This window comes from Homo sapiens, chromosome 11 (genome assembly GCF_000001405.40).
Source record: "Homo sapiens chromosome 11, GRCh38.p14 Primary Assembly".
Taxonomy (NCBI): domain Eukaryota; kingdom Metazoa; phylum Chordata; class Mammalia; order Primates; family Hominidae; genus Homo; species Homo sapiens.
In genome coordinates, this window is record NC_000011.10 from 45,239,069 (window position 1) to 45,253,990 (window position 14,922).

The 14,922-nt window shown below is 46.3% G+C and overlaps 1 protein-coding gene across 4 annotated transcripts in view, besides 1 other annotated feature; it reads right to left on the reverse strand.

Annotated features, from left to right (window-relative positions):
• Positions 1-1,233: 1,233 nt before the first annotated feature.
• SYT13 (synaptotagmin 13) overlaps positions 1,234-14,922 on the reverse strand; it is a 46,040-nt gene continuing 32,351 nt past the window's right edge. For all 4 annotated transcript variants that reach the window (NM_020826.3, NM_001247987.2, XM_047427339.1 and 1 more), the window contains 3 exons: positions 13,353-13,654; positions 7,315-7,444; positions 1,234-5,288 (listed from right to left, as the gene is read on the reverse strand). In NM_020826.3, coding sequence (NP_065877.1) covers positions 4,984-5,288; positions 7,315-7,444; positions 13,353-13,654 — 737 coding nt within the window. In that variant the 3' untranslated portion in view covers positions 1,234-4,983. The remainder of the gene's footprint in view (positions 5,289-7,314; positions 7,445-13,352; positions 13,655-14,922) is intronic.
• Positions 4,563-5,063: an enhancer, noted in NCBI's record as "H3K4me1 hESC enhancer chr11:45265182-45265682 (GRCh37/hg19 assembly coordinates)". NCBI's record gives its function as "activates a minimal SCP1, AML or CMV promoter by ChIP-STARR-seq in naive H9 embryonic stem cells {active_cell/tissue: H9 hESC(naive)}" and the evidence as "EXISTENCE:reporter gene assay evidence [ECO:0000049][PMID:30033119]".

Genomic DNA, 14,922 nt, shown 5'->3' on the forward strand with positions numbered 1-14,922 from the left:
CTCATGAACTCTGCTTCCCTCTTCCATTTCTCTTTTACATCAATCCAGACTCTTAAGTATGAGTTTTGGGTTCAGGTGGGCCATATTCATAGTTACCTGTGAAACATAGTCTGCATAACATTCGACTATGTGGGATAAAACCAACTGATCCTACTTTATTATGAAAATTTAAATGCTAGTTGCCATTACAATAGAATGTATGTGTATACATAATATAAAATAGGGAATTATGTGCAGACTTGGAAAGCAACGACATCTCATGGCTTTCTTTATGGATTGTTTATCCTATTTAAGAACCTTCTATTTTAATTCTGTGTGACCTGGCTAATTTTCTACTAGCTTGAAAATTCAGGCTCTGCCCCTTGCTTAATCCCTCTTCCTCCAGAGGCCAGGGCTGTAGTGGCCACCAGGAAGGCTTAGGATGACAGGACTCCAGGAGTGCCCTTGTCCCTGCTTGCCACCAGGAGTTCATGAGTACCACTGGCTGCTACTAGACCCTTCCATTGATGGAGTATTTCTTTGGGGAATGTTAAAGAAAGAGAAGTTAGTAGTTTCCACCAAATTTTTCTCCCCAGCAATGAAGCCAAATCCCTGAAAAGCTTCACCCAACCTTGGCATTCCTAATTGTATGTAGCCTCTTTGATTCAGTACTCAAGCAAGGCCACCAAGGTACACACACATGCACATGCACAGAGTACTCTATGACTCACTCCTGGGTATATATCTTAGAGAAACTCACACAAGCGCACAAGGAGACATGCAGAGGAATGTCATAGCAGCATTTCTTGTAACAGTAAAAAAAAAAAAAAAGAAAAAGAAACATGTAGATATACATCAACTGCATAGGACTGTGGCATATCCATACAATGGAATATCATACATCAGTGAAAAAGAAATAAACTGGAGCTGCATGTGTCTGCACAGATGAAACTGAAATATTTAATGTTGAGTGAAAATAGTGTGATACAATTTAAATGAAGTTTAAAAACACTTTATGGAACTCAGGGCTTACAGAGACATGTAATAAAAGTATGAGGGAATGCCTGGGATGATAAACCCCAAATCCAAGGTCATGGTCTTCTGAGTAAAGGGCACTGAGGGTACTTCAATTGTAGTTGTCAAGTTTTATTAAACATGGCAGTGGCTCATAAGTGCTTATCAGATGATTTCTTCTGCATTTTATATGCCAAAATATTAGGTAAAACGGAAAAAAAGAAAACACCAGGCAGCTGACCCTGTTGGAAATTTTTTATTTACCACTGCAAGGTTTTTGCTCCAAAGTGTCACACCAGACATATGACTACAATGTCTCATGCATCTTTTTGTGCTTTAGTTCATGACTGCAAAACACACACTTAGCATTTGACAACAGGAAACACAGAGGGCAGAAACAAATCACAAGGACTAGTTGGTTTAGGTTACAGCCACATTTTACCCAGGACTCCTTTACATCCAAGAGAAATGGACCCTGAATAACTGGTCTCCTAGCTGATTCTCTGTGCCCAGCTTTGTTTGGAGTGATTTGTCATTCAACCCACACAAAAAGTTGTATCTCAAATCAAAATGGACAGACATATGCAAGGTCTTAATCAATAAGTGCTCAACAAATAGATATTGATTTGGTGCAAGAGGTGGAATCACAGATTAATGAGGGCAGACTCCCGATTTTCTATCCCCGTAGAAATCTCTGAAGAAAGAACCAGATCACCTTTTTGAGCAACAGTGCATTCTGAAATGGTCTCTCACCTTATTTTTACCTCTACCTCACACCCTTTTTAGAAATGCTCACTGGCATCACACAAGGTGTTCCTTTCGAAAATGATGAGATACTTCACACAGGCTCAGTTACTATAATTTGATAGTAAATTGGAAATGTTTCTGGTACAAGGTAAGCTGATGCAAAGACTACTGAAATATTTTTATTTGGCAGTTTGACATCTCTGGATAATTTAAAATTCACTAAGATGGAGTTTTAGTGGAAAAGCAGAGCAATTATATTCTCTTCATCTGTTGATTACATTTACATGGAGAGCAATGAGTTGCCATTAGGCAAATAGTAATACTCATTGTCATGAATTTCTAGCTTGACTGCTAAGACATCTGATGCCTTTACCATTGAGAACTCAGCTAGGACTTTAATTTTTATGCCATTTGCAGTGTCTTTTTCTGCCTACTCTGCCAGCCACTCTTAATTCATTAATTCACTCAACAAATATATATGAATATATATGGAGCACCCATGAGACAGCTTTATCCCAGGCACTTAGAATACAGTGAACATAACAGACAACTCTCCTTCAAAATGTATCTCATTTCTGTAATCCCTGCTAAGTGAGGTCAAGGCTGACATCTAAGATGTTCTGTGGCGGAACCTGGCCCCCATCAGGGGCAACCTTTAATTTGGATTCTGGAAGACTAAAACTTTGAGATCCCTCCCCCGCCCCGCCCCCCCAAAAAAAAGAAGAAGAAGAATGAAAGGATGCTTCATGACCAAATGATGATGGGTGGAGTTGATAATTCTGGGATCGGGGCCCCGCCCAGCCCACCTGAAATTCCTTTGATGGTACTATAAGGCAGCTGCACAGATTTATAAGGAGCCATGTTTCCTGATTTTTGGTCTAGAATCCAAATTTTCTAGATTGGAGTAGTAGATGTTACCAAGAAGAGAATGCTGGTCAGCTTTCAGCTTATAGGAAATGTTTTGTTTTCTTTTACCCACACCAACCAAAGAGAAGAAACCAGTATGGTGAAGAGATCTCTAAAACATTTCATAGGAAGCCACTAACAAGTGCTTTGCCTACACAACACTTGGCAGGGGCTGGCCAACCTCAGTGATGAAGGTTTCCAATTATCCAAAAGACTTCTCATGAAAGAGGGATTCGATATTTTTTCTGTTTTTTCAGAGGATGGTTAGAAGTTATTTCTAATGCTTTTCTATTTCTGTACAGAAAGAAAAAATAATGACCACAGGTTATAAGGCTCCTGCTCAGATTCTCAGGGAGAGGCCAAGTATGACTTGACTTGTTGAAGGAATGAAGCCCTTACCCATCTTGTCCAGAAATTCTGTCTTAGGGAAGTGGATTAGGGTGACATCTGAAGGCCCAGAGTTTTAATATTAATAGAGAGGGGTCCAAAGGCAGAATCCATGGTTCTGGAAATGCCACGATGCTTCTGGCACTTTCTGGGCATTCTCAGCTGCCAAATTAAAGTGAAAAATAGGCCGGGCGCGGTGGCTCAGGCCTGTAATCCCAGTACTTTGGGAGGCCGAGGAGGGTAGATCACCTGAGATCTGGAGTTGAAGACCAGCCTGGCCAACATGGTGAAACCCCATCTCTACTAAAAGTACAAAAATTAGCCAGGCATGTTGGTGGGCACCTGTAATCCCAGCTACCCAGGAGGCTGAGAGAGGAGAATCGCTTGAACTTGGGAGGCGGAGGTTGCAGTGAGCCGAGATCGTGCCACTGCACTCCAGCCTGGGCAACAAAGAGCAAAACTCCGTCTAAAAAAAAAGGTGAAAAATAGTAACTTAGCTTAAAGATGATCTGCTGGTGGCCTCAGAGTTTGTTTTTAGCCAGAGAGTGCCTACAGGTTTTGAACACTATTTCATCTAGTATATCATTCATTGGGGTAGGCTTCCTAGTCATTAGTCCTATCTTACACAGCTGGCCAAACAGGTGCTGAAGGGCAATGTCAACAACAGAACCCAGGAATCCTGGTTCAGGTGTAAGTACCGTATCCACTCAGCAAGGCTCATAATTTAGATTTAATTAACAATGTGGACATCTGTTTAGAATAACAAGGTAGGAATTCAAAACCTAGCTGCTGGTTATTTACCCATTCAAGTGAAAACAGACAGAGGGAGGCACAGTTGCAAAAGACCTGATTTCCTTTTTAAAATTATCTTTCTTCTCTACCTACATGTAGCCAGATGTCATAGACTAAGTCAATAACTAAATTCCTCCTGAAGTGACTGGAACGCTGAGAAGGGACCGGTCTATCTCAGAGTCACTTTGGTGATGCTGGTGGGTGTGACATCTAGCAATCAGAACCCAGCCAATGACTCACAGGAGATCCCACCTGTACTTTGTTAGGGATGGTCTCCCCAAGGATAATAGAAACTGATTTTAAGATAAAAACAATAAAATTCTTCAATAAAAAGCACAAAATTCAGTCCAAGAGCAGGGGGCTTATGAAATGCACAAATTAAAGTATTAAGAATTAAAATAATTAAATTAAAAAGCTGAGGCCCCAGATTTCACCCTGATGGTTGAGGTGTCCAGCATTGGAACTGGCTGCACCATGGTTTTGGGACTCCATCAAGGACTGTGGCCAAAAACCTGTGTGGAATATTGTAGAAGGAATTTCTCCACATACAGTGCTCCACCCTCTACATCAGCTTGTTAAAAAGGAAGGCTCCTGGGCTTCGACCAGGAATACCGACTAGGAATGTCTCCAGGCGAGCCCAGGAATCTGCTGGTGACTCTTCACATGCTAAAGTTTGAGAACTGCCGGGTGACTGCCCTGCATGGTGAGCTTGATTGAACGCTGGCTAAGGTTTCTTTCCACCTGGGCAATCTCTAACTCTAGGAGTTGATCCAGGATACTTTCACTTCCTTCATCATTTTTGAAATGCTTGTTTTTCAAAAAGCCAAATTCTTCTTTGCATCCATGATTCCCACATTTAGCTTTCTCTGCATCTGGCCTAACCCCACCTATAAAACAGGCATAGGAACTGTATTTAATAAGCACCTCCTTCAATAACACAGATGAGCAAAATGCATTCCTCAGTGTGACCCGCATATTCCATTTCCTGCTCTGTCTTGCTTATTTCTAAGAAACAAGAGTATGATGAGAGAGCCATCCCAGCCTTGCAAACACATCTGTCACTGTCTTCTGGGTGTCAGAATGAGGAAAGGGGCACAGAAAGGAGGTTGCAGAGGACGGGTCAGGGCTGTCCAAGAAGGGAGGCAGCTGGGCAGCTGGTTACAGGTGCAGCTGGTGCCACATGGCAATCTGCCGGCGAGGGTTTTTGAGCATCTCCTCCCAGTGGCTGCGCTCAGAGCCCGAGGTGTGCAGGCCCAGGCTGCAGTGGCCAAGCGCACAGCTCTGCCCTGAATCGTCCTGGCCCAGCACTTCCAGCTCCACACTGGAGGCCTGCAGCAGGTCGTCAGGCAGCTCAAACATGATCATCTCGTTCCACACGGGGTTGATCTTGTGCTTAGCTCGTTTAGTCTGCTTCTTCTTCAGCTTCCGAGCCTGGTGCTTCAAGGTCACCTTGACAGAGACATCTGGGGAGGGGCAGAGGGGAAAAAGAGACAGAGAGAAGGGACAAGAGTGAGTTTCTGGGATCTGGCAGGGCCCAGGACAAAGCTCCCTCCTGGTGCTGGAAAGATGCTCAAGAGTTCGGACATCTGTGCCCCATATACCCAAACATCTTAGAGGCCTCAGTTTTTCCTTCTGGATACCCCAGCACAGGTCCCAAGTCTATGTGACCATAGAAGGCTCTGCTATACCAGCAGGAAAGCATCCCACCCGGACAATCTATAACTCTAGGAGTCGATCCAGGATGCTTTCATTTCCTTGCATTGGGGATTATTCTCCACTCCCCCACTAGGCCATGCATTCATTCAACAAATATTAAGTGCCTACCCTATGGCAGGCACTGGTCTAGAAGTGGGGATGCAGCAGAAGTTCTTGCCTCCATAGAACTGACACTAAAGTGTAGGAAACGGCCAATACCATGATATAGAAGGCTGGCCACTGGGTGGCCTGTGATTGGGGCATGTTAGAGTACCAAGAGGGAACCACCTTTGCTACATGACTTCATATCCTCACATCAAACCAGGTCCATGACAACAGCTCAGGGGTCCTGCAGCTGGATTTTAAACTCAGACCAGAAAAATGAAGCCAGCTCCCAACTCTTCATCCCCTTGATTCTTGGTGTAAGCATGTTTGTCTGTTATCAAAATAGGAGATCCCCTGCTGGTTGGTTGAGTTCTTCTCATCCGTACTTTTTAAAGTTTTATTTGAAGACCCCCAACTTCATGTGGAAGAGGGATGAAGGCAGACTGCCTGTTCCTGCACGCTCCCCCAAACCCAGGGCACTGCACCAAGAGAGCTGGCCCCAAGGAAATCCACAAACAGGTCACCAGGCGAGCTTTCATGTCACATCACAAGGCTGGACTGGATTACTTAGTCAATGTTTCCAAAGCTAATGTGAGAATAATTGTTACTTTGTATTTATTGCTGTAATTATCACCTCTGGGAGGTTAGTTTGTTATTTCTACAGAGAGAGTTGAGAGACGAAGTGTTGTACTGTAATTGTCCTGACAGGAGCTATAAAAGAGAGCAAGAAGCAAAGAATTGTCTAAAGGGAATGAGATAAAAGCATTGAACTTTGACCTTTGACTCAGGAACCTGCCAGCAAGACCAACTCTTCTGATTCCATTAGCCCCAAGTCTTTTGCTCGAAATTCAGAATGCAGTGGCAATTCTTTATTTGTACCCTGCTATAAATAGAGACTTATTTATATCTTGCTAGGCGCATGTGGCTTCCAGTCCAGGTATTATCTGGCTAGCTGAGGATGCTTTCCTGCTCATATAGGAGAGCTTGTTTTGGTCTCCGAGATGCTGGACCTGGGCTGGGGTATCCAGAAGGAAAAACTGAGGCTTCCAGGGTGTTGCAGAAAAGCTTATTTGGGTATATGGGGCACAGACGCCTGAAGCCTCAGGCCTCAGCCCATGTACCCACACACCTTCTGCCATCACCCACACTCAGCTGGTGTGAGGGTGGCAGTTGGCAAAGGCTGAGAAGAGAGAAGAGACTGGGGTGGGTGGCAGGAGTGCAGTGGTGGTGAGTTCAGACAGGAGGGGAATAACCTGGCCTTCCTGACATCTGCCTGAAAGGTGGGTCCAGCCAGGTGTGGGTGACAAGGGCTGGGCCAAGTTTTCCCGACAGCCCAGGCCCTTCACTCCACGGCTATAGTCTGACCCTTGGCTTCTTGTGCTCTGTGGTTAGGGCTGATGGTTCTCATAGTGGATCTCCAAGGTAGGGAACCCCAGGTAGCTCACACTGGGGTCCTAATGGATGGGATTGATCCAAGAGTAAATGGATGGGAACTCATAGAAGTGAGTGTGTCCTCGAAAATCAATTTGTGAACTTAGGGTGAAGAACACCGCTGAGCATGGCTCCGTAGATGTGCTCATATTCCACCTCCCTGCTTACCTGTGACCATTTCCTCCCAGGCACCACCTCCCTCAGCACACACTCCCGGTAGCTGGAGGGGCCTTGGCCATCCTCTCACATCTCACTCACCCTTCCCCAGGAGCTCCTTGGACTGGTTAGAGTGGAGGTTCTTGGCTTTAATCAGCACCACCAGGAGGCGGTTGGCAGCCGGGAGGTAGCTGATGGATAGTAGGACCTCTCCAGCTCCTGCAGATGGCTCCTGAAACAGAAAAGGAGATGCAGGAGGGGAGTCTCACCTGGGGACGCCTTCCAACCCATCAACAAATGCTGAAGCTGGAACCATGCTGGATTTGCATCCAACACGCATCCTTGAAACCATTTACCCGTCAATGCTGGGGTGTCCACCCTTGCAGAAGAGAGCAAGGCACAGAGGAATTCCATGCGGCATGCGCTTCAATAGCAGTTTCTTTGTTTGCCTCAAAATGTGATTTTTCATATACCATATACTCAAATCCAACATACAAAACAGAACAAAGAAAGGCTACTCAGAATGCAGCAGCGGGGAGGAGGCCAGAATTCCCCATTACCCTTCACCTTCTGCCACCCCCAAGCTCCTGGGACACCTCTGTCCTCTAGGGCCTCAGAGAACAGTTTCAGAATCCCTGCATGGACCCATCAGGTTCCTGGGGCAGCGGGAGAATTGTAATTCATTACTATGTTTGAAAAGATAGTTCTTTCCAGCTCCAGGAGGTTGCTTCATCAACAGAATGACAAGTAATGTCAATGAAGTGCTGGGGTGTATGATGGTAGATCATGCCCAGAGGCAACTGGCAATAACCACACCTTGAAGGAGGTGCTGATGCCCCTGTGAGGCATCCAAACAAACACATCTATCCCTGCACGCAGCTTTAGAGTAACTCTCCTGAAATTCGTACAGGAGTTTATTTGGAATTTCAACAAATCCGTCAAGGGACAAGAATGACCGAAAGACCCCTCCTAGGAGGTGGGTGTTTGGTTGCAATCCAAGCTCTGGGGAGACCTGGCAGGAAAGAGAAGGGAGTGTGTGGGCAGGGATCAGCTGAAGGTCAGAAGTCTCCTCTGTTGAGCAGGAAGAAGATGCCCTTCCCTCGAAATCCCAAGGAAGAGGCAGATGTGTGGCCTGCTGTGCCAAGATGGAGTGGGGAGTGGGAGTGGGGGAAGGCCCCATGGAAGCTTGTCCCTCCAGATGTCACAGCTTTCAGTCCTGTGGCCCTTCCCTCCAGCTTTGTCCCTCTTTCCCAGCTGTGCAATGAGGGTAATTCAATGAGGTCTGGTACCAGGCTGGAGCCCTGGCTAACAGCCACCGTGACTCCCTAAGCTTCCTCCCCTTCTGTCACACCCAGGATGTCTGTTCATCCATCCTGGACCAGGCACTCAGAAGGGTTGAAATCGGTTTTTCTTTGCTCACTGTGGCCTCTAGTGGATTCATTCATTCAGCAAGCATATGCAATGCACCTACTATATTCCAGATGCCATAATTAAAGCCATGAACTAAACAGAATCAGTCTCAAAGAAGCTTGCAGTCACATGGGGAAGACAGAAAGGAAGTGATTAAATATATAACATCGGGCAGCATTAAATGCTATGAAGAAATATAGATATCAGAGGATGAAGTGAGAAAATGCATATAGCAAGTTCTTAGTAAAGGTCATAAATTACAATTCTAATGACAACAGTCAAAACAACAATTATTAATAACCCAGAATAAGAGTAATGCTGAGAGCATAGACTCTAAACCAGATTAACTGTGTCTGAGTTCCAATCCTACCATTTACTACCTCTATGACCTTGGGTAAGTTACTTAACTTTTCTAAGCCTCCATTTCTGCATGACCCCAATGATTCCACAAGTCTTGAGGGACTGGTCATATGAAGAAATGATTTGGGAGCCTCAAAGGATCTTGGCAATGAAATGAATGGTAGCAGCTAACATTTATTAAACACTGTGTGTGAAGTGCAATTACATTGTCCATCCCACTAGAAAGTAAGCTCCACTGTGGCCTCCATTCACACTATGCAACTCCAGCACCTGGGACACAGTGGGCACACAATAAACATTTGTGAAAAAAGGGTAACACATTCCATTTATAATCTTGATGACAACCTCAAGAGGGCTACTGATTTTGTTCCCATTTTAAGCACAAGAACCTCAGATTCAGAAAGGGAACATCATTGCCAGAGGTCATGTAGGCAGGAAGTGGCAAAACCAAGCCTTGGAAAGGAGGTCCAGTCTGACAGCAAAACTTAAGTCCTGAATCCATGGCTCTCCAGCTTTCTCAGTTGACAGCCCTCCCTAACCCTCTCATTTCACAGTGAAGGAACTGAGGCCCAGGGACTTGTACCAGGCACCCAGAGAGGTGACTGCAGAGTTGGGATGGGCACCAGCCTCCTGGCTCATCACTGATTATTAGAGGGCCACAGGTAGCCCGGGCTATAGCCACAGGGTTACCAGACTTGAGTCCTCTGCTACCTACAGACCAGGTGAGAGGAGTCAGCACCTGTCAGCCTCTGCAGGGCTTTTCACTTTTGCATAGGGTGAGGTCTAACTAGCCTAGCCGGCTGCACCATAGCCAGACAATTTCAACACCTGCTCCCTGGGCACTGCTGCTGAAAGTACCTGCAGACTAAAGTAATCCTTTCTTTCTTCTTCCTTTCCCTGGTTTTCCCTGCCCCTCTCTTTCTCTCAGGTCTTAGTGAACCATGCAAGACTACCCTTGGAGGCTAATATCCAGAATCTACAAAGAAATTAAACAAATTTACAAGAAAAAAAACAAACAGCCCCATCAAAAAGTGGGCAAAGGATATGAACAGACACTTCTCAAAAGAAGACATTTATGCAGCCAACAGACATATGAAAAAATGCTCATCATCACTGCTTATCAGAGAAATGCAAATCAAAACCACAATGAGATACCATCTCACGCCAGTTAGAATGGCGATCATTAAAGTCAGGAAACAACAGAAGCTGGAGAGGATGTGGAGAAAAAGGAATGCTTTTACACTGTTGGTGGGACTGTAAACTAGTTCAACCATTGTGGAAGACAGTGTGGCAATTCCTCAAGGATCTAGAACTAGAAATACCATTTGACCCAGCCATCCCATTACTGGGTATATACCCAAAGGATTATAAATCATGCTACTATAAAGACACATACACACATATGTTTATTGCAGCACTATTCACAATAGCAGACTTGGAACCAACCCAAATGTCCATCAATGATAGACTGAATAAAGAATATGTGGCCCATATACAGCACGGAATACTATGCAGCCATAAAAAAGGAATGAGATCATGTCCTTTGCAGGGATATGGATGAAGCTGGAAACTATCATTCTCAGCAAACTAATACAGGAACTGAAAACCAAACACCACATGTTCTCACTCTTAGGTGGGAATTGAACAATGAGATCACTTGGACACAGGGAGGGGAACATCACACACCAGGGCATGTCAGGGGTGGGGGCCTGGGGGAGGGATAGCATTAGGAGAAATACCTAATGTAGATGACTAGTTGATGAGCGCAGCAAACCAACATGGCACATGTGTACCTATGTAACAAACCTACACGTTCTGCACATGTATCCTAGAACTTAAAATATAATAATAATAATCAAAGACTGCTCTTGGAGTGGATTGCCCTGTGAGTCACTCTTGATGCACATGGCACTTTTGGCTGAGTATCTTCCAGCTAGAACTGGGCACCGTGGGCAAGTCTGTTAACCCATCTGGCCTAGAGAAGAAAAACATCTGGGCTGCAATGACTGAGGGCTCCACTCACCTTGTTCAAATCAGCCCACACCCTCTAGCTGGGGCGAGGGGCTGCCTGGCCTGGACTTCCAGCTTTCTCCTGCCCTATACACCCAGAAAGTCACCTCCTACTTCTGACTCCATGCCACCCTCTGAGGTTGTTCACATTTGTAGTAAACAGGTCAGTGATCAAAGTGGTTGTGAGTACATATTTGCAGAACAGAAACAGCTACAGAAAGTATGATAATTATTAGGATGGATGAGCTGCAAGGTCAGGGCTTCATCTTAATTACTGTTGCTATGTCCCCAGCTCTTGGCACAGCGCCTGGCACATGGTAGAAACTGGGCAAGGTATTTGCAGAATGAATGAATGAGTGAATGATGGCTGCTCTTCTAGAGGGCAGTGAGAGAAGCTGCTAGGTGCCTGAGACTTCTGCCTAGATTGGCTGGATTTCTGCCCTTTGGGGCTGTACCAAGTCTCAGAGCCCAGCAGGGGAGTCTCTGCATCTCGAGAGAAAGCTAGTTTACTAGTTTAATAATCCTAAGTATTGATGCCTTCTCCCAGGATCCCCATCTGTGATTCCACAGAAGTCCCAAATCACACACTAATTAGAGAGTGGGCTTTGGAACAGCTGAGTTCCATCTGAGAGTGGCTGTGATTTTTCTAACAATTTTCTGAGCCTGGGAAAGAGGAAAAAATGGAGCAAGGAGGAAATCATAGCAAAAAGAGGAGCAGACAGCGGGTGAAACGTACTCTTCCCTCCTGCAGTCTGGGTGTCTATTAGGAAAGGTGCCTGCTGGTCACACCTCATATTTGTCAGGTGGCTTTCATGGCAGGTAATGAGATAGCACAGGATTTCGAGTCAGACCAACCCGGCCTCAAGGTCTGCCATTTCCTGGCTGTGGGACCCTGTGTGGATTCCTGAACTGCTATGACCCTGTTTCCTCATCTGTAAGAGGGATAGTCATGGTGTCTCTCTCATCTGGTTGATTTGGAGAGTGGCAGCACTCAGGTAGAGTCCTAAGCATAGTAACTGATGGTGAGCATTAAAAAATAGTACCCTTGGCCGGGTGCAGTGACTCATGCCTGTAATCCCAGGACTTTGGGAGGCTGAGGTGGGGTAGATCACAAGGTCAGGAGATCAAGACCATCCTGGCCAACATGGTGAAACCCTGTCTCTACTAAAAATACAAAAATTAGCTGGGCGTGGTGGCGTGTGGCTGTAATCCCAGCTACTCAGGAGGCTGAGGCACGAGAATCGCTTGAACCCAGGAGGCAGAGGTTGCAGTGAGCCGAGATCGCGCCACTGCACTCCAGCCTGGCAACAGAGCGAGACTCTGTCTAAAAAAAAAAAAAAAAAAAAAAAATAGTGCCCTAATCAGTATTTTGCTTTTTGCTTTAGCATGAGGGTTGTCAAACATTTTCTGGAAAGGGGCTAATATAATAACACCTATTTGGGGCTATGCAGGTTATACAGTCTTTAGATCAGTATAGCACTGCCAATCTGGTTGAGAGACTAGTCACCCAGAAGGTTTCCTCAAGGAACCACAGTGCAGGCCCTTAGATGAGCTTTGACCCAGGGGCCTAAGTAACTACATACCATCTTGTAGCCCTGACCTTCCCAGATCCCCTTGCTGTCCTGGCGCATGGGAAACAATGATTTTCTCCCCAAGGGTCCCCTCTCTTGAGGGCTGTGGCATCTCAGAAGACCCTTCTTTCCCACTTGTGGCCCCCCAACAGCAGATATGGGGAAATCATCTTGAGTCTGGGGATTGCATGGACCACCGGGCTCTGGGCCTGCCCCCAGCCCTGATTGCTCCTTCAGAGCCTAGCACACGGGGCCTTCTAGAATTCTTTATCAGAGCACATTGGTTAGGTCTCTCTTACATGGCTCAGGGTGGAACACATCAAATATCGTCATCATTTGTCTGTGCCAATTTGTCCCCTAGTCTGTACACTCCTGAGTGGTGGGGCTCCACCCTTCATGCTCACCTACACAAACGGAGGAAGGTAGAGTGTCCTGCAGTGTCTGCCACATCGTAGGAGCACACAGAGTATAACTGGATTGAAATGGGGACAGTACTTCATAGCAGTAAAGGTAATACACACAGCATGGCATTTTCCATGACGGCAGAGAGAGTCTTTGCATGGCAAGTTAGAGCCAAGACTAGGAGCAGACACTAGGAATCCCAGATCCTGGGCTATGGGTCTCCTCTAGCCCTCTGCCCCATTCAAGATTCCAACCTCCCTTCCAGCCCCAAGCCAGGGAGGTCTCTGAGGCTTGTTCCCTAAGACTGAGTTGCTGGGAGGACACCAGGTTCTGCCATCCCATGCTGCACGGGCAGGTTTTACCTTTCTAACCCAGGGGTTACCCTACCTTCGCTGAAGTCTTCAGCTCGCCCCACTGGGCAGCCCCTAGAGGCACAGATGTCCCGTCCAGGCCCAGGCGGAGCTCCCCGGCCACGCTGTGACGGGAGAAGCGGTCGCAGGTCCTCAAGGTCAGCGTCAGGGTGGCTGTGGGGAGCTCCTCCTCCGCCAGGGGGAGCACCAGGCCCTCCTCCCAGGTGGTGTGCAGCTGCCGCTTCTTTAGGGCTGTCTGAGCCTCCACAGAGCCGGTCCTATTGGCCACACTCCCTTGGACGTAGCAGTCACAGCCTCCGTCGTGGTTGCTGGTCACAGCTGCAGGCAAGGAGAACAACACAGGCGTGGGACTTTCTGAGGACAAGTGGAGGGGGCAGAAGCACGCCTTGCTTAGGGCTGTGGAATCCAGCTTAACGACGTGACCTTGGGTGTCAGAAAGGCTGACCACCCTGGGCACCAGGGAATCGCCTTTCAGTGAGACATTTAGAAATAGATCATTTGAGGGGGCTGGCCTCAGCACATGCCGATTCTCTTTCTTGGAGAGCAGGGACAAGACTTGGCATTTCCTGGAGCCCTCTGAACTCCGGATTCTGAAATTTTGCCAAGGTGCCAAGGCTTGCTGCTGGGGGCCTTTATTAGTGGTGCTGCTGACATGTAACCATTTGTTCTGAACTTTAAATAGTCACCACATAACCATTTTCCATGAGAATCACTTGGCTCTTACCTCATGAGTGAGTGTGGCTTTATGTTCTGAACCTTGGTGTTTTCAATGCTTCACAATGTGTGGCTCTGCCCAGAAATGTACACCTTGGGTACTTTTCTGACTGGCTCTTCAGGGATCGTTTGGAAAGTGGTAGCTGACATTTCACAAGAAGAGAAGATGAAGAACTGAGGCTATGTGTCTTAACAGCAAGAGCTTTCCACTGAACTTCAAGGGACTGCTTAGTCCTGGCTCTGTCACCAGTTAGATGCAGTGATCTTTGACAAGTCATATGACTTGCCAGACCTCAGTTTCCTAATCTGTAAAATGCGCTAGTGTGAAGACCAAACATAATAAAGTATAGGAGGAAGGTGCTTTAAAATCTTAAAAGATAATACAAGGAAAAAGCCTCAGAAAATAGAATTATATACAAAATTCCAATTTATCTGACCCCATTGCTAGCCCTGATTCCTTTGCAAAGTCTTAGCTTTAGTTGCTGACCTTAAAGTGAATTGTCAGGGCAGAGAAACCAAGGACATCCTGCCACCCTCAGGCCGCTTGGCTCTTAGATTGTAGAAACTTTTCTGACCATTCGGAACATGCTGTGTGTCCAGCACAAAGCCCTGTCCAATTTCAAATTCATCTATGGCAGAGACGACTAGTTCTTCACCCCAAACTCATTGCCTTTCCTTCCGGGGCACCTGTCGGCCCACATTTCCCAGCCCACTTTGCAGTTGAGTGTGCTCATGTGACTGAGCTACGGCCAATGGGATGCAAGCGGAAGTGACGTCCACCAAGTCCAGGTAAAGGCTGTTAAGGAATGATTACGCCCTCTCCTTCTCTTTCTCCTTCCATCTGCCAGATACAGATGGCAAGGATACAAATG